At 37.4% G+C, this 20,358-nt stretch overlaps 4 annotated features.

The window, feature by feature from the left end:
- Positions 2,161–2,662: an enhancer, noted in NCBI's record as "NANOG hESC enhancer chr19:27808230-27808731 (GRCh37/hg19 assembly coordinates)". NCBI's record gives its function as "activates a minimal SCP1, AML or CMV promoter by ChIP-STARR-seq in primed H9 embryonic stem cells {active_cell/tissue: H9 hESC(primed)}" and the evidence as "EXISTENCE:reporter gene assay evidence [ECO:0000049][PMID:30033119]".
- Positions 6,408–7,151: an enhancer, noted in NCBI's record as "OCT4-NANOG hESC enhancer chr19:27812477-27813220 (GRCh37/hg19 assembly coordinates)". NCBI's record gives its function as "activates a minimal SCP1, AML or CMV promoter by ChIP-STARR-seq in naive and primed H9 embryonic stem cells {active_cell/tissue: H9 hESC(naive and primed)}" and the evidence as "EXISTENCE:reporter gene assay evidence [ECO:0000049][PMID:30033119]".
- Positions 7,454–7,955: an enhancer, noted in NCBI's record as "NANOG hESC enhancer chr19:27813523-27814024 (GRCh37/hg19 assembly coordinates)". NCBI's record gives its function as "activates a minimal SCP1, AML or CMV promoter by ChIP-STARR-seq in primed H9 embryonic stem cells {active_cell/tissue: H9 hESC(primed)}" and the evidence as "EXISTENCE:reporter gene assay evidence [ECO:0000049][PMID:30033119]".
- Positions 8,008–8,517: an enhancer, noted in NCBI's record as "OCT4-NANOG hESC enhancer chr19:27814077-27814586 (GRCh37/hg19 assembly coordinates)". NCBI's record gives its function as "activates a minimal SCP1, AML or CMV promoter by ChIP-STARR-seq in primed H9 embryonic stem cells {active_cell/tissue: H9 hESC(primed)}" and the evidence as "EXISTENCE:reporter gene assay evidence [ECO:0000049][PMID:30033119]".

Genomic DNA, 20,358 nt, shown 5'->3' on the forward strand with positions numbered 1-20,358 from the left:
TTTGTAGAATCTGCAAGTCGATATTTGTAGCCCTTTGCAGTTTATTGTGGAAAAGGAAATATTTTCACATAAACACTACACAGAAGCCTTCTGAGAAACTTCTTTGTGATGTGCATTCATTTCACAGCGTTGAACCTCTCTTTTGATTGAGCAGTTTGGAAACACTTTTTTGGAGAATCTGCAAGTGGATATTTGTAGCGCTTTGAGGAGTATTGTGGAAAAGGAAATATCTTCACATAAAAACTACAAAGAAGCATTCTGAGAAAGTTCTTTGTGATGTGTGCATTCACCTCACAGAGCTGAACTTTTCTTTTGCTTGAGCAGTTTGGAAACACTCTTTTAGTAGAATCGGGAAGTGGATAGATTTAGCTCTAGGAGGCCTATTGTGGAAACGGAAATATCTGCACATGAAAACTACACAGAAGCATTCTGAGAAACCACTTTGTGTTGTGTGCAATCAAGTCACACAGTTGAACCTATCTTTTGATAGAGCAGTTTTGAAACTCTCTTTTTGTAGAATCTCCAAGTGGATACTGGAACCCTTAGCATCCTATGGAGGAAAAGGAAATATCTTCACATAAAAACTTCACAGAAGCATTCTGAGAAACTTCTTTGTGATGTGTGCATTCAACTCACAGAGTTGAAGCTATCTTTTGATAGAGCAGTTTTGAAACTCTCTTTTTGCAGAATCTGCAAGTGGATATTTGGAGCCCTTGGTGGCCTATGGTGGAAAAGCAAATATCTTCACCTAAAAACTACACAGAAGGATTCTGAGTATCTACTTTGTGATGTGGGCATTCATCTCACAGTGTTGAAACTCTCCTTTGATTGAGCAGTTTGGAAAAACTCTTTTTGTAGAATCTGCAAGTGGATATTAGGAGCGCTTTGAGGCCTATTGTGGAAAGGGAAATATCTTCACATAAAAAATACACAGAAGCATTATTAGCAACTTCTTTGTGATGTGCGCATTCATCTCACAGAATTGATCCTTTTTTGATCGAGAAGTTTGGAAACACTCCTATAGTAGAATCTGCAAGTGGATATTTGGAGCCCTTGGAGGCCTATTGTGGAAAAGGAAATATCATCACATAAAACCTACGCAGAAGCATTATGAGAAACTTCTTTGTGAATTGTGCATCCATCTCACACCGTTGAAACTTTCTTTTGATAGAGCAGTTTTGAAACACTATTTTCATAGGATCTGCAAGTGGATATTTTGAGCACTTTTGGGCCTATGGTGGAAAAGGAAATATCTTCACATAAGAACAACACAGAAGCATTCTGATAAACTTCTTTGTGATTCGTGCATTCATCTCACCGGTTTGAACCTATATTTTGATTGTACAGTTTTGAAACACTCTTATTATAGACTCTGCAAGTGGATATTTGAAGCACTTTGAGGCCTGTTGTGGAAAACGAAATAACTTCTAATAAAAACTACACAGAAGCATTCTGAGAAACTTCTTTGTGATGTATGCATTCAACTTACAGAGTTGAACCTATCATTTGATTGAAGACTTCTGAATCTCTCTTTTTGTAAAATCTGCAAATGGATATTTGGAGCCCTTTGCAGCCTATTTTGGAAAAGGAAATATCTTCACATAAAAACTACACAGAAGCATTATGAGAAACTTCTTTGTGACGTGTGCATTCATCTCACAGAGGTGAACCTTTCTTTGGATTGAGCAGTTTTGAAACACTTTTTTTATAGAATTTGCAAGTGGATAATTGAAGCACTTTGAGGCCTATTGTGGAAAGGAAATATCTTCACTTAAAAATTGCACAGAAGCATTCTGAGAAACTTCTTTGTGATGTGTGCATTCATCTCACAGAGTTGAACCTTTCTTTTCATTGAGCAGTATGGAAACAATCATTTTGTAGAATCTGCAAGTGGATATTTGGAGCGCTTTGAGACCTATTGTGGAAAATGAAGTTTCTTCACAAAAAATTACACAGAAGCATTGTGAAAAACTACTTTGTGATGTGTGCATTCATCTCACAGAGCTGAACCTATCTTTTGATAGAGCAGTTTTGAAACTCTACTTTGTAGAATCTGCAAGTGGATATTTGTAGCCCTTTGTGGCCTATGTTGGAAAAGGAAATGTATTCACATAAAAACTACACCAAAGCATTCTGAGAAACTTCTTTTGTGCTATGTGGATTCATCTCACAGAGTTCAGCCTTTCCTTTGATTGAGCAGTTTTGAAACACACTTTTTGTAGAATATCCAGGTGGATATCTGGAGCACTTTCTGGCCTTTTGTGGAAAAGGAAATATCTTCACATAAAAACTACATAGAAGCATTATTGGAAACTTCTTTGTGATGTGTGCATTCATCTCACTGTGTTGAACCTTTCTTTTGATTGAGCAATTTTGAAACACTGTTTTTGTAGAATCTGCAAGTGGTTATTTAGAGAGCTTGGAGGCCTATTGTGGAAAAGGAAATATCTTCACATAAAAACTGCACAGAAGCATTCTGAGAAACTTCTTTCTGACGTGTGCATTCAAGTCACAATGTTGAACCTATCTTCTCATGGAGCAGTTTTGAAACTCTCTTTTTGTAGAATCTTCAAGTTGTTTTTTGGAGCCCTTTGCAGCTTATGGTGGCAAAGGAAATATCTCCATATAAAAACTACACAGAAGCATTCTGAGAAACTTCTTTGTGATGTGTGCATTCATTTCACAGAGTTGAACGTTTTTTGATTCAGCAGTTTTGAAACACTCATTTTTTAGAATATGCAAGTGGATATATGGAGCGTTTTGAGGCCTTTTGTGGAAAGGGAAGTATCTTCACAAAAAAACTACGCAGAGGCATTCTGAGAAATATCTTGTGAAGTGTGCATTCATCTCATAGAGTTGAACTTTGTTTTCATCGAGCAGTTTTGAAACACTCTTTTTGTAGAATCTGCAAGTGGATATTTGTAGCATTTTGAGGCCTATTGTTGAAAATGAAATATCTTCACATAAAAACTACACGGTGTAAGGAATTGATCCAGTTTCAGCTTTCTACATATGGCTAGCAAGTATTCCCAGCACCATTTATTAAATAGGGAATCCTTTCCCCATTTCTTGTTTTTCTTAGGTTTGTCAATGATCAGATAGTTGTATGAATGTAACATTATTTCTGAGGGCTCTGTTCTGTTCCATTGATCTATATCTCTGTTTTGGTACCAGTATCATGCTGCTTTGTAGTATAGTATGTAGCCTTGTAGTATAGTTTGACGTCAGGTAGCGTGATGGCTCCAGCTTTGTTGTTTTGGCTTAGGATTGATTTGGTGATGCGGGCTCTTTTTTGATTCCATATGAACTTTAAAGTAGTTTTTTCCAATTCTGTGATGTAAGTCATTGGTAGCTTGATGAGGATGGCATTGAATCAATAAATTACCTTGGGCAATATGGCCATTTTCATGATATTGATTCTTCCTACCCATGAGCATGGAATGTTCTTCGATTTGGTTGTATCCTCTTTTATTTCATTGAGCAGTGTTTTGTAGTACTCCTTGAAGAGGTCCTTCATGTCCCTTATAAGTTGGATTCCTAAGTATTCTATTCTCTTTGAAGCAATTGTGAATGGGAGTTCACTCATGATTTGGTTCTCTGTCTGTCTGTCACTGGTGTATAAGAATGCTTGTGATTTTTGTACATTGATTTTGTATCCTGAGACCTAGCTGAAATTGCTTATCAGCTTAAGGAGATTTCCGGCTGAGACAATGGGGTTTTCTAGATATACAATCATGTCATCTGCAAACAGGGACAATTTGACTTCCTCTTTTCCTAATTGAATACACTTTATTTCCTTCTCCTGCCTAATTGCCCTGGCCAGAACTTCCAATACTATGTTGAATAGGAGTGGTGAGAGAGGGCATCCCTGTCTTGTGCCAATTTTCAAAGGGAATGCTTCTAGTTTTTGCCCATTCAGTATGATATTGGCTGTGGGTTTGTCATAGATAGCTTTTATTATTTTGAGATACGTCCCATCAATACCTAATTTATTGAGAGTTTTTAGCATGCAGAGTTGTTGAATTTTGTCAAAGGCCTTTTCTGCATCTATTGAGATAATCATGTGGTTTTCATCTTTGGTTCTGTTTACATGCTGGATTGCATTTATTGATTTGCATATATTGAACCAGCCTTGCATCCCAGGGATGAAGTCCACTTGATCATGGTGGATAAGCCTTTTGATGTGCTGCTGGATTGGGTTTGCCAGAATTTTATAGAGGATTTTTGCATCAATGTTCATCAAGGATATTTGTCTAAAATTATCTTTTTTGATTGTATCTCTGCCCAGCTTTGGTATCAGGATGATGCTGGCCTCATAAAATGAGTTAGGGAGGATTCCCTCTTTTGCTATTGATTGGAATAGTTTCAGAAGGAATGATACCAGTTCCTCCTTGTACCTCTGGTAGAATTCAGCTGTGAATCCATCTGGTCTTGGGCTCTTTTTGGTTGGTAAGCTATTTATTATTGCACAATTTCAGATCCTGTTATTGGTATATTCAGAGAGTCAACTTCTTCCTGGTTTAGTCTTGGGACAGTGTATGTGTCAAGGAATTTATTCATTTCTTCTAGATTTTCTAGTTTAATTCTGTAGAAGTGTTTGTAGTATTCTCTGATGGTAGTTTGTATTTCTGTGGGATTGGTGATTAAAGACTTAAGTATTAGACCTAGAACCATAAAAACCCTAGAAGAAAACCTAGACATTACAATTCATGACATAGGCATGGGCAAGGACTTCATGTCTAAAACACCAAAAGCAATGGCAACAAAATCCAAAAGTAACAAATGGGATCTAATTAAACTAAAGAGCTTCTGAGCAACAAAAGAGACTACCATCAGAGTGAACAGGCAACCTAAAGAATGGGAGAAAATTTTTGTAACCTACTTATCTGACAAAGGGCTGATATCCAGAATCTACAATGAACTCAAACAAATTTACAAGAAAAAAACAAACAACCCCATCAAAATTGGGTGAAGGACATGAACAGACACTTCTCAAAAGAAGACATTTATGCAGCCAACAAACACATGAAGAAATCCTCACCATCACTGGCCATCAGAGAAATGCAAATCAAAAACAGAATGAGATACCATCTCACACCAGTTAGAATGGCAATCATTAAAATGTCAGGAAACAAGAGGTGCTGGAGCGGATGTGGACAAATAGGAACACTTTTACACTGTTGGTGGGTCTGTAAACTAGTTCAACCTTTGTGGAAGTCAGTGTGGGATTCTTCAGGGATCTAGAACCAGAAATACCATTTGACACAGCCATCCCATTACTGGGTATATACCCAAAGGACTATAAACCATGCTGCTATGAAGACACATGCACAAGTATGTTTATTGCAGGACTATTCACAATAGCAAAGACTTGGAACCAACACAAATGTCCAAAAATGATAGACTGGATTAAGAAAATGTGGCAAATATACACAATGGAATACTATGCAGCCATAAAAAATGATGAGTTCATGTCCTTTGTAGGGACATGGATGAAATTGGGAATCATCATTCTCAGTAAACTATCACAAGTACAAAAAACAGAACACCGCATATTCTCACTCATAGGTGTGAATTGAATAATGAGAACACATGGACACAGGAAGGGGAACATCACACTCAGGACTGTTGTGGAGTCAGGGGTTGGGGGAGGGATAGCTTTAGGAGATATAGCTAATGCTAAATGACGAGTTAATGGGTGCAACACACCAGCATGGCACTGGTATACATATGTAACTAACCTGCACATGGTGCACAGGTACTCTAAAACTTAAAGTATAATAACAATTAAAAAAACACACAAAAAGAGATTCTCACACACACAAACACACACACAAATACATGGAAGCTTTCTGAGAAACTTCTTTGTGATGTGTGCATTCATCTGACAGAGTTGAACCTTTCTTTTGATTCAGCACTTTGGAAACACTCTTTTTGTAGAATCTGCAAGTGGATATTTGGAGTGATATGAGGCCTATGGTGGAAAAGGAAATGTCTTCACATAAAAACTACACAGAAGCATTCTGAGAAGCTACTTTGTGATGTGTGCATTCATCTCACAGACCTAAAGCTTTCTTTTGATTGAGCATTTTGAAACATTCTGTTGGGAGAATCTGCAAGTGGATATTTGGAGCGCTTTGAGGATTATTGTGGAAAAGGAAATATCTTCACATAAAAATTACACAGAGGCATTCTGAGAAGCTTTTTTGTGATGTGTGCATTCATCTCACAGAGTTGAAATTTTCTTTTGATTGAGCAGTTTTGAAACATTCTCTTTGTAGAATCTGAAAGTGGATATTTGGAGTGCTTTGAGGCCTATTGTGGAAAAGGAAATATATTCACATAAAAACTACAAGGAAACATTCTGAGAAACTTCTTTTTGTTGTGTGCATTCATCTCACAGATTTGAACTTTTCTTTTGCTTGAGCAGTTTGGAAACACTCTTTTTGTAGAATCTGCAAGGGGATATTTGGAGCACTTTGAGGCCTATTGAGAAAAAGGAAATATCTTCACAAAAAACCACACAGAAGCATTCTGAGAAACTTCTTTGTGATGTGTGCATTCAACTCACAGTGTTGAACCTATCTTTTCAATGAGCACTTTTGAAACTCCCTTTTTTAGAATCCAGAAGTGGATATTTGGAGCCTTTTGTGGCCTATGTTGGAAAAGGAAATATCTTCACATGAAAACTACACAGAAGCATTCTGAGAAACTTCTTTGTGATGTGTGCATTCACCTCACAGGGTTGAACCTATATTATGATTAAGCAGTTTGGAAACACTCTTTTTGTAGAATCTGCAAGTGGATATTTGGAGCGCTTTGATGCCTACGGTGGAAAAGGAAATGTCTTCACATAAAAACTACACAGAAGCATTCTGAGAAGCTACTTTGTGATGTGTGCATTCATCTCACAGAGCTAAACCTTTCTTTTGATTGAGCAGTTTTGACACACTCTGTTTGTAGAATCTGCAAGTGTATATTTGGAGCACTTTGAGGCCTATTGTGGAAAAGGAAATATCTTCACATAAAAGCTACAAAGAGGCATTCTGAGAAGCTTTTTTCTGACGTGTGCATTCATCTCACAGAGTCGAAACTTTCTTTTGATTGAGCAGTTTGGAAACATTCTGTTTGTAGAATCTGAAAGTGGATATTTGGGGCGCTTTGAGGCCTATTGTGGAAAAGGAAATATATTCAAGTGAAAACTACACAGAAGCATTCTGAGAAACTTCTTTTTGTTGTGTGCATTCATTTCACAGAGTTGAACCTTTCTTTTGCTTGAGCAGTTTGGAAAAACTCTTTTTGTAGAATCTGCAAGAGGATATTTGGAGCACTTTGAGGCCTATTGTGAAAAAGGAAATATCTTCTAAAAAAACTATACAGAAGCATTCCGAGAAACTTCTTTGTGATGTGTGCATTCAAATCAGAGTGTTGAACCTATCTTTTGAATGAACACTTTTGAAACTCCCTTTTGTTGAATCTACAAGTGGATATTTGGAACCCTTTGTGGCCTATGTTGGAAAAGGAAATATCTTCACATAAAAACAACAAAGAAGCATTTGGAGAAACTTCTTTAAGATGTGTTCATCTCACAGATTTGAAACATTCTTTTTATTGAGCAGTTTTGAAACACTCTTCTTACAGTATCTGCAAGTGGATATTTGGAGCCCCTTGAGACCTATTGTGGAAACGGAAATATCTTCACATAAGAACTACACAGAAGCATCCTGAGAAACTTCTTTGTGATGTGTGCATTTATCTCACAGAGTTGAACCTGTCTTTTCATTGAGCAGTTTTGGAACACTCTATTTGTAGAATCTGCAAGTGCATATTAGGAGTGCTTTGAGGCTTATTGTGGAAAAGGAAATACCTTCACATAAAAACTACACAGAAACATCCTCAGAAACTTCTTTAGATGTGTGCATTCATCTCACAGAGTTGAACCTTTCTTTTCGTTGAGCAGTTTGGAAAAACTCTTTTAGTAGAATCTGCAAATGGATATTTAGAGCCCTTGGAAGCCTATTGTGGAAAAGGAAATATCTTCACATAAAAAGTCCACAGAAGCATTCTGAGAAACTTCTTTGTGACGTGTGCATTCATCTCACAAAGTTGAACGTTTTTTTTTTTTTTTATTGAGCAGCTTGGAAACACTCTTTTTGTGGGATCTCCATGTGGATATTTGGAGCACTTTGAGGCCTATGGTGGAAAAGGAAATATCTTCGCATGAAAACTACACAGAAGCATTCTGAGAAACTTCTTTGTGATGTCTGCATTCATCTCACAGAGTTGAATCTTTCTTTTGATGGAGCAGTTTTGAAACACTCTTTTTGTAGAATCTGCAAGTGGATATTTGGAGCGCTTTGAGGCCTAATGTGAAGAAGGAAATATCTTCACATAAAAACTGCACAGAAGCATTCTGAGAAACTTCTTTATGATGTGTGCATTCAGCTCACAGAGTTGAACCTATCTTTTTAAAGAGCAGTTTTGAAACTCTCCTTTCGTGTAATCTTCAAGTGGATATTTGAAGCCCTTTGCAGCCTATGGTGGAAAAGGAAATATCTTCACATAAAAACTACCCAGAAGCATTCTGAGAAACTTCTTTCTGATGTGTGCATTCCACTCACAGAGTTGAACCTATCTTTTGATTGAGCAGTTTTAAAACTCTCTTTTTGTAGTATCTGCAAGTGGATATTTGGAGTGCTTTGAGGCTTATGGTGGAAAACGAAATATCTTCACATAAAAACAACACAGAAGCATTCTCAGAATCTCCTTTGCGATGGGTGCATTTTCGTCACAGAGTTGAACTTTTCTTTTGACTGAGAAGTTTGGAAACACTCTTTTTGTAGAATATGAAAGTGGATTTTTGGAGTGCTTTAAGGCCTATGGTGGAAAAGGAAACATCTTCACATAAAAACTACACAGAAGCATTCTGAGAAACTTATTTGTGATGTGTGCATTCATTTCACAGTGATAAACCTTTCTTTTGATTAAGCAGTTTTGAAACACTCTTTTTGTAGTTTCTGCAAGTGGATATATGGAGAGATTTGAGGCCTGTTGTGGAAAAGGAAATATCTTCACATAATAACCAGACAGAAGCATTCTGAGAAACTTCTTTGTGATGTGTGTATTCACCTCACAGAATAGAACATTGCTTTTGATTAAGCAGTTTTGAAACCCTCTTTTTGTACAATCTGCAAGTGGATGCAATGGCATCCGCGATTGCCCAGGCTTGCTTAAGTAAATAAAGCAGCCGGGGAGCTAGAACTGGGTGGGCCCACCATAGCTCAAGAAGGCCTGCCTGCCTCTGTAGGCTCCACTTCTGGGGGCAGGGCACAGACAAACCAAAAGACAGCAGTAACCTCTGCAGACTTAAATGTCCCTGTCTGACAGCTTTGAAGAGAGCATCGGTTCTCCCAGCACACAGCTGGATTTCTCAGAATGGGCAGACTGCCTCCTCAAGTAGGTCCCTGACTCTTGACTCCTGAGCACCCTAACTGGGAGGCACCCCCAAGCAGGGGCAGACTGACACCTTACACGGCTGGGTACTCTTCTGAGACAAAATTTCCAGATGAACAATCAGAGAGCAGCATTTGCGGTTCACGAAAATCCGCTTTTCTGCAGCCACTGCTGGCCAATGCTGCTGTTACCCAGAAAAATAGGGTCTGGAGTGGACCTCCAGCAAACTTCAACACACCTGCAGCTGAGGGTCCTGTCTGTTAGAAGGAAAACTAACAAACAGAAAGGACATCCACACCAAAAACCCATTTGTACATCAACAACATCAAAGACAAAAGTAGATAAAACCACAAAGATGGGGAAAAAACAGAGCAGAAAAACTGGAAACTCTAAAAACCAGAGCACCTCTCCTCCTCCAAAAGAATGCAGTTCCTCACCAGCAACGGAACAAAGCTGGATGGAGAATGACTTTGACAACTTGAGAGAAGAAGGTTCGGATGACGAAACTACTCCGAGCTACAGCAGGAAATTCAAACCAAAGGCAAAGAAGTTAAAAACATTGAAAAAAATTTAGACGAATGTATAACTAGAATAACCAATATAGAGAAATGCTTAAAGGAGCTGATGGAGCTGAAAGCCAAGGCTCGAGAACTACATGAAAAATGCAGAAACCTCAGGAGCCGATGCAATCAACTGGAAGAAAGGGTATCAGTGATGGAAGATGAAATGAATGAAATGAAAGCGAGAAGGGAAGTTTAGAGAAATAAAAAGAAATGAGCAAAGCCTCCAAGAAATATGGGACTATGTGAAAAGACCAAATCTACGTCTGATTGGTGCACCTGAAAGTGATGGGGAGAATGGAATCAAGTTGGAAAACACTCTGCAAGATATTATCCAGGACAACATCCCCAATCTAACAAGGCAGGCCAACATTCAGATTCAGGAAATACAGAGAACGCCACAAAGATACTCCTCGAGAAGAACAACTCCAAGACGCATAATTGTCAGATTCAGCAAAGTTGAAATGAAGGAAAAAATGTTAAGGGCAGCCAGAGAGAAAGGTAGGGTTACCCATAAAGGGAAGCACATCAGACTAACAGTGGATCTCTCAGCAGAAACTCTAGAAGCCAGAAGAGAGTGAGGGTCAATATTCAACATTCTTAAAGAAAAGAATTTTCAACCCAGAATTTCATATCCAGCCAAACTAAGCTTCATAAGTGAAGGAGAAATAAAATACTTTACAGACAAGCAAATGCAGAGAGATTTTGTCACCACCAGGCCTGCCCTAAAAGAGCTCTTGAAGGAAGCACTAAACATGGAAAGGAACAACCGGTTCCAGCCACTGCAAAATCATTCCAAATTATAAAGACCTTCGAGGCTAAGAAGAAACTCCATTAACTAGTGAGCAAAATATCCAGCTAACATCATAATGACAGGATCAAATTCACACATAACAATATTAACTTTAAATGTAAATGGACTAAATGCCCCAATTAAAAGACACAGACTGGCAAATTGGATAAGGAGTCAGGACCCATCAGTGTGCTGTATTCAGGAAACCCATCTCACGTGCAGAGACACACATAGGCTCAAAATAAAAGGAAAGAGGAAGATTTACCAAGCAAATGGAAAACAAAAAAAGGCAGAGGTTGCTATCCTAGTCTCTGATAAAACAGACTTAAACCAACAAAGATCAAAAGAGACAAAGAAGGCCATTAAATAATGGTAAAGGGATCAATTCAACAAGAAGAGCTAACTATCCTAAATATATCTGCACCCAATACAGGAGCACCCAGATTCATAAAGCAAGTCCTCAGTGACCTACAAAGAGACTTAGACTCCCACACAATAATAATGGGAGACTTTAACACCCCACTGTCACCATTAGACAGATCAACGAGACAGAAAGTTAACAAGGATACCCAGGAATTGAACTCAGCTATACACTAAGAGGACCTAAGAGACATCTACAGAACTCTCCACCCCAAATCAACAGAATATACATTTTTTTCAGCACCACAGCACACCTATTCCAAAATTGACCACGTAGTTGGAAAGAAAGCTCTCCTCAACAAATGTAAAAATCAGAAATTATAACAGACTGTCTCTCAGACTGCAATGCAATCAAACTAGAACTCAAGATTAAGAAACTCACTCAAAACCGCTCAACTACATGGAAACTGAACAACCTGCTGCTGAATGACTACTGGGTACATAACGAAATGAAGGCAGAAATAAAGATGTTCTTTGAAACCAACGAGAACAAAGACACAACATACCAGAATCTCTGGGACACATTCAAAACAGTGCGTAGAGGGAAATTTATAGCTCTAAATGCCCACAAGAGAAAGCAGGAAATATCCAAAATTGACACCCTAAGATCACAATTAATAGAACTAGAAAAGCAAGAGAAAACACATTCAAAAGCTAGCAGAAGATAAGAAATAGCTAAAATCAGAGAACAACTGAAAGAAATAGTGACATAAAAAACCTTCAAAAAATTAATGAATCCAGGAGCTAGTTTTTTGAAAGGATCAACAAATTGATAGACTGCTAGCAAGACTAATGCAGAAAAAAAGAGAGAAGAATCAGATAGATGCAATAAAAAATGATAAAGGGGATATGACCACCAATCCCACAGAAATATAAACTGCCATCAGAGAATACTACAAACACCTCTATGCAAATAAACTAGAAAATCTAGAAGAAATGGATAAATTCCTCAACACATACACCCTCCCAAGAGTAAACCAGGAAGAAGTTGAATCTCTGAATAGACCAATAAGAGGATCTGAAATTGTGGCAATAATCAATAGCTTACCAACTAAACAGGGTCCAGGACCAGACGGATTCACAGCCAAATTCTACCAGAGGTACAAGGAGGAACTGGTACCATTCCTTCTGAAACTATTCCAATCAATAGAAAAAGAGGGAATCCTGCCTAACTCATTTTATGAGGCCAGCATCATCCTGATACCAAAGCCAGGCAGAGACACAACCAAAAAGGTGAATTATAGACCAATACCCGTGATGAACATTGATGCAAAAATCCTCTATAAAATACTGGCAAACCGAATCCAGCAGCACATCAAAAAGCTTATCCACCATGATCAAGTGGGCTTCATCCCTGGGATGTAAGGCTGGTTCAATATTCAGAAATCAATAAATGTTATCCAGCATATAAACCGAATCAAAGACAAAAACCACATGATTATCTCAATAGATGCAGAAAAGGCCTTTGACAAAATTCAACAACTCTGCATGCTAAAAACTCTCAATAAATTAGATATTGTTGGGACGTATCTCAAAATAATAAGAGCTATCTATGACAAACCCACAGCCAATATCATACTGAATGGGCAAAAACTGGAAGCATTCCCTTTGAAAACTGGCACAAGACAGGGATGCCCTCTCTCACCACTCCTATTCAACATAGTGTTGGAAGTTCTGGCCAGGGCAATTAGGCAGGAGAAGGAAATAAAGTGTATTCAATTAGGAAAAGAGGAAGTCAAATTGTCCCTGTTTGCAGATGACATGATTGTATATCTAGAAAATCCCATTGTCTCAGCCCAAAATCTCCTTAATCTGATAAGCAATTTCAGCTAAGTCTCAGGATACAAAATCAATGTACAAAAATCACAAGCACTCTTATACACTAGTGACAGACAAACAGAGAACCAAATCATGAGTGAACTCCCACTCACAATTGTTTCAAAGAGAATGTGTTTGCTCTTGCTTTTCTAATTCTTTTAATTGTGATGTTAGGGTGTCAATTTTGGATCTTTCCTGCTTTCTCTTGTGGGCATTTAGTGCTATAAATTTCCCTCTACACACTGCTTTGAATGTGTCCCAGAGATTCTAGTATGTTGTGGATACAAAATTAATGTACAAAAATCACAAGCATTCTTATACACCAATAACAGACAAACAGAGATCCACATCATGAGTGAACTCTCATTCTCAATTGCTTCAAAGAGAATGAAATACCTAGGAATCCAACTTACAAGGGATGTGAAGGACATCTTCAAGGAGAACTGCAAACTACTGCTCAATGAAATAAAAGAGGATACAAAGAAATGGAAGAACATTCCATGCTCATGGGTAGGAAGAAGCAATATCGTGAAAATGGCCATACTGCCCAAGGTAATTTATCGATTCAATGACATCCCCATTAAGCTGCCAATGACTTTCATCACAGAATTGGAAAAAAGTACTTTAAAGTTCATATGGAACCAATAAAGAGCCTGCATTGCCAAGTCAATCCTAAGCCAAAAGAATAAACCTGGAAGAATCACGCTACCTGACTTCAAACTATACTACAAGGCTACTGTAACCAAAACTGCATGGTACTGGTAACAAACCAGAGATATAGCTCAATGGAACAGAACAGAGCCCTCAGAAATAATGCCGCATATCTAAAACAATCTGATATTTGACAAACCTGAGAAAAACCAGCAATGGGGAAATTATTTCCTATTTAATAAATGGTGCTGGGAAAACTGGCTAGCCACATGTAGAAAACTGAAACTGGATTCCTTCCTTACACCTTATACAAAAATCAATTCAAGATGGATTAAAGACTTAAACGTTAGACCTAAAACCATAAAAACCCTGGAAGAAAACCTAGGAATTGCCATTCAGGACATAGGCATGGGCAAGGACTTCATGTCTAAAACACGAAAAGCAATGGAAACAAAAGCCGAAATTGACAAATGGAACCTAATTAAATTAAAGAGCTTCTGCACAGCAAAAGAACCTACCATCAGAGTGAACAAGCAACCTACAAAATGGGAGAAAATTTTCGCAACCTACTCATCGGACAAAGGGCTAATATCCAGAATCTACAATGAACTCAAACAAATTTACAGGAAAAAAACAAACAACCCCATCAAAAAGTGAGTGAAGGACATGAACAGACACTTCTCAAAAGAAGACATTTATGCAGCCAAGAAACACATGAAAAAATGCTCACCATCACTGGCCATCAGAGAAATGCAAATCAAAACCACAATGAGATACCATCTCACACCAGTTAGAATGGCAATCATTAAAAAGTCAGGAAACAACAGGTGCTGGAGAGGATGTGGAGAAACAGGAACACTTTTACACTGTTGGTGGGACAGTAAACTAGCTCAACCCTTGTGGAAATCAGGGTGGCAATTCCTTAAGGATCTAGAACTAGAAATACCACTTGACCCAGCCATCCCATTATTGGGCATATACCCAAAGGATTATAAATCATGCTGCTATAAAAACACATGCACACATAAGTTTATTGCAGCACTATTCACAATAGCAAAGACTTGGAACCAACCCAAATGTCCAACAATGATAGACTGGATTAATAAAATGTGGCCCATATACACCATGGAATACTATACAGCCATAAAAAAGGATGAGCTCATGTCCTTTGAAGAGACATGGATGAATTTGGAAATCATCATTCTCAGTAAACAATTGCAAGGACAAAATCCAAACACCACATGTTCTCACTCACAGGTGGGAATTGAACAATGAGAACACATGGACACAGGAAGGGGAACATCACACTCTGGGGACTGTTATGGGGTGGGGGAAGGGGGGCGATAGCATTAGGTGATATACCTAATGCTAAATGACGAATTAATGGGTGCAGCACACCAGCATGGAACATATATACATATGTAACTAACATGCACATTGTGCACAAGTACCCTAAAACGTAAAGTAAAATAAAATAAAAAATAAAAAAGAATGCTTACAAACTGCTCAATCCAAAGTAAGCTTCCACTCCTTGAGTTGTATGCACACATCACAAAGGAGTTTCTCAGAACGCTTCTTGCTAGTTTTTAGGTGAGGATATTTCCTTTTATACTGTAGGTTTCAAAGCTCTCCAAATATCCATTTGCAGATTCTACATAAAGAATGTTTCCATACTGCTCAAGCAAAAGAAAGGTTCCACTCTGTGAGTTGAATGCACACATCACAAAGAAGTTTCTGAGAATGATTCAGTCTAGTTTTTAGGTGAAGATATTTCCTTTTACATCATAGGCCTCAAAGCGCTTGAAATATCCACTTGCAGATTCTACAAAAAGAGTGTTTCAAAACTTCCCAACGAAAAGAGTTGCTCAACTGTGTGAGATGAATGCACACATCAAAAAGGAGTTTCTCAGAATGCTTCTGTCTTGTTTTTATGTGAAGATATTTACTTTTTCACCATAGGCATCAAATCGCTCCAAATATCCACTTGCAGATTCTACAGAAAGAGTGTTTCAAAACTGCTCAATCAAAAGAAAGGTTCAACTCTGTGAGATGAATGCACGCATCACAAAGAAGTTTCTCAGAATACCTCTGTCTAGTTTTTATGTGAAGATATTTCCTTTTCCAATATAGGCCACAAAGCGCTCCAAATATCCACTTGCAGATTCTACAAAAAGTGTGTTTCTCAGAATGCTTCTGTCTAGTTCTTATATGAAGATAACTCCTTTTCCTCTATAGACCAAAAAGCACTCAAAATATCCTTTTGGAGATAGTACAAAAAGCCTGTTTCCAAACTGCTCAATCAAAAGAAAGTTTTAACTCTGTGAGTTGAAAGCATACATCACAAAGAAGTTTCCCAGAATGCTTCTGCTAGTTTTTATGTGAAGATATTTCCTTTCCCAATATAGGCCTCAAACGCTCCAAATATCTACTTGAAGATACTAGTAAAAGAGTGTTTCAAAACTGCTCAATCAAAACAAAGGTTCAACTCTGTGAGATGAATGCACACATCACAAAGAAGTTTCTTGCAATGCTTCTGTGTAGTTTTTATGTGAATATATTTCCTATTCCACCTGTGGCCTCATAGTGCTCCAAATATCCTTTTGCAGATAATACAGAAAGACTCTTTCCAAACTACTCAATCAGAGAAAAGTTTCAAGTCTGTGAGTTGAATGCGCACATCACAAAGAAGTTTCTCAGAATGCTTCTGTCTAGTTTTTATGTGAAGATATTTCCTTTTCCACCAGAGCCCTCAAAGGGCTCCAAATATCCACTTGCAGAATCTACAAAATCTGTGGTTCAAAACTGCTCAATCAAAAGAAAGTTTCAACTCTGGGAGATGAATGTGCACATCACAAAGATGTTTCCCAGAATGCTTCTGTCTAGTTTGTATGTGAAGATATTTTCTTTTCCACTACAGGCTGCAAAGCTCTCCAAATATCCCGTTGAAGATTCTAAAAAAAGAGTTTTTCAAAACTGCTAAATCAAAAAAATTTCAAATCTGTGAGATGAATGCACACATCCCAAATTGTTTCTCAGAATGCTTCTGTTTAGTTTTTACGTGAATATATTTCCTTTTCCACTACAGGCCTCAAATAATTTGAAATATCCATTTGCAGATACTACAAAAAGACTGTTCCCAAACTGCTTAATGAAAACAAATGTTCAACTGTGTGCGTTGAATGCACACATCACAAAGAAGTTTCTCAGAATGCTTCTGTCTTGTTTTTATATGAAGATTTTTCCTTTTCCATCATAGGCCTCAATTCGATCTGAATATCCATCTGCACATTCTACAAAAACAGTGTTTCAAAACTGCTCTATCAAAAGAAAAGTTCAACTCTGTCAAATGAATGTACACATCAAAACGTAGTTTTTCTGAATGCTTCTGTCTAGTTTTTATGTGAAGTTATTTCCTTTTCCACCATAGGCCACAAAGGGCTCCAAGTAAAAAATTGCAGATTCTATAAAACGAGTGTTTGAAAACTGCTCAATCAAAAGACAGGTTCAACTCTGTGTGATGAATGCACATATCACAAAGTAGTTTCTTACAATGCTTCTGTCTAGTATTTATGCGAAGATTTTTCCTTTTCCACCATATGCCTCAAATCGCTCCTAATATCCACTTGCAGATTCTACAAAAAGAGTGTTTCAATAGTGCTCAATCAACAGAATGGTTCAGCTCTGGGAGATGAATGCACACATCCCATAGTAGTTTCTCAGAATGCTTTTGTCTCGTTTTTATGTGAAGATATTCCCGTTTACACTATAGGGCTCAAACCGCTCCAAATATCCATTTGAAGATTCTACAAAAAGTGTTTCTGAAAACTGCTCAATAAAAAAAAGCTTCAACTCTTTGAAATGAATGCACACATCCCAAATAATTTCCAAGAATGCATGTGTCTAGTTTTTATGTTAAGATATTTCCTTTTCCACCATAGGCCTCTTAGTGCTCCAATTATCCATTTGCAGATACTGCAAAAAGACTGTTTCCAAACTGCTCAAAAAATGAAAAGTACAACTCTGTGAGTTGAATACACACATCACAAAGAAGTTTCTCAGAATGTTTCTGTCTAGTTTTTATGTGAAGATATTTCCTTTTCCACCATAGTCCTCATAGTGCTCCAAATATCCACTTGCAGATTCTACAAAAGGAGTGTTTCAATACTGCTCAATCAAAAGAAAGGTTCAACTCTGTGAGATGAATGCACACATCAAAAGAAGTTACTCAGAATTCTTCTGACTAGATTTTATGTCAAGATATTTCCTTTTCCACTATAGGCTTCAAAGCGCTTCAAATATACATTTGCAGATAATATAAACAGAATGTTTCCAAACTGCTGAATCAAAAGAAAGGTACAACTCAGTGAGTTGAATGCAAACATCACAAACAATTTTCTCAGAATGCTTCTGTCTATTTTATATCTGAAGATATTTCCTTTTCCATTATAGGCCTCAATACGCTCCAAATATCCATTCAAAGATACTACAAAAAGACTGTTTCCAACTTGCTCAATCAAAAAAACATTGAACTCTGTGATTTGAATGCACACATCACAAAGTAGTTTCTCAAAATGCTTCTGTCTAGTTTTTAGGTGAAGATGTTTCCTTTTCCACCATAGGCCTCAAATCACTCCAAATATCCTCTTGCAGATTCCACAAAAAGAGTGTTTGAAAAACTGCTCAATCTAAAGAAAGGTTCACCTCTTTGAGATGAATGTACACAACACAAAGAAGTTTCTCAGAAAGCATCTGTGTAGTTTTATGTGAAGATATTTCCCTTTCCACTATAGGTCTCAATGCGCTCCAAATGTCCACTTGCAGATACTACAAAAAGTCTGTTTCCAAACTGCACAATCAAAAGAAAAGTTCAACTCTGTGAGTTGAATGCCCACATCACAAAAAAGTTTCTCAGGATTGTGAAGTCTAGTTTTTATGTGAAGATATTCCTTTTTCTACTATAAGTCACAGAACACTCCAAATAGCCACTTGCAGATCCTACAAAAATAGTGTATCAAAACTGCTCAATCAAAGGAAAGTATCAACTCTCTAAGATGAATGCACACATAACAAAGAAGTTTCTCAGAATGCTTCTGTTTAGTTTTTACGTGAAGATTTTTCCTTTTCCACGATAGGCCTCAAAGCGCTCCAAATACCCATTTTCAGATTCTGCTAAAATAATCTTTCAAAACTGCTCAAGGAAAAGAAAGTTTCAACCCTGTGAGATGAATGCAAACGTCACAAAGAAGTTTCTCAGAATGCTACTATCTAGTTTCTATATGAAGATATTTCCTTTTCCACCATTGGTCTCAAAGCTCTCCAAATATCCACTTGCAGATTCTACAAAAATAGTGTTTCCAAACTCCTCAATGAAAAGAAAGTTTCAAGTCTGTGGGATGAATGCACACATCACAAAGAAGTTTAACAGAATGCTTCCATCTAGTTTTTATGTGAAGACATTTCATTTTCCACTGTAGGCCTCGATGTGCTCCAAATATTCATTTGTAGATGCTACAAAAAGACTGGTACCAAACTGTTCAATCAAAAGAAAAGTTGAACTCTCTGAGTTGAATGCACTCATCTCAAGGAATTTTCTAAGAATGCTTGTGTCTAGTTTTTATGTGAAGATATTTCATTTTCCACTATAGGCCACAAAGTGCTCCAAGTATCCACTTGCAGATTATACAAAAAGAGTGTTTCAAAACTGCTCAAACAAAGGAAATGTTCACATCTGTGAGATAAATGGACACATAACAAAGAAGTTCTTCAGAATGATTGTGTCTATTTTTTATTTGAAGATATTTCCTTTTCCATTATAGGCTGCAAAACACTCCAAATATCCATTTGCAGTTAATATAAAAAGACTGTTTCCATACTGCTGAATCAAAAGAAATATTCAACTCTCTGAGTTGAATCCAAACATCACAAAGAATTTTCTCAGAATGTTTCTGTCTAGTTTTTATGTGAAGATACTTCCTTATCCCCTATAGGTCTCATTGCACTCCAAATATCCATTTGAAGATAGTATAAAAAAGACGGTTTCCAAACTGCTCAATCAAAAGAAAGGTTCACCTCTGTTAGTTGAATGCACACATGGGAAAAAAGTTTCTAAGAATGCTTCTGTGTAGCTTTTATGTGAAGATATTTCCTTTCCACCATAGGTCTCAAAGCGCTCCAAATATCCACTTGCAAATTCTACAAAAATAATGTTTCAAAACTCCTCAATCAAAAGATAGGTTCAACTCTGTGAGTTGAATTCACACATCATAAAGAAATTTCTCACAATGCTTCCGTCTAGTTTTTATGTGAAGATATTTTCCACCACAGGCCGCAAATCACTCCAAACATCTGCTTGCAGATTCGACAAAAAGAGTGTTTCAAAACTGTTCAATCAAAAGAAAGTTTCAACTTTGTGAGGTGAATGCACACATCAAAACTAAGTTTCTCAGAATGTTTCTGTCTAGTTTTTATGTGAAGAGAATTCCTTTTCCAGTATAAGCCACAATGCGATTCAAATATCCACCTGCAGATCCTACAAAAAGAGTGTTACAGAACTGCTCAATCAAAAGAAAAATTCAACCCTGTGGAGATGAATTCACACATCACAAAGATGTTTCTCAGAATGCTTCTGTATAGTTGTTAAGTGAAGAGACTTCCTTTTCCACC

Source organism: Homo sapiens, chromosome 19 (genome assembly GCF_000001405.40).
Source record: "Homo sapiens chromosome 19, GRCh38.p14 Primary Assembly".
Taxonomy (NCBI): Eukaryota; Metazoa; Chordata; class Mammalia; order Primates; family Hominidae; genus Homo; species Homo sapiens.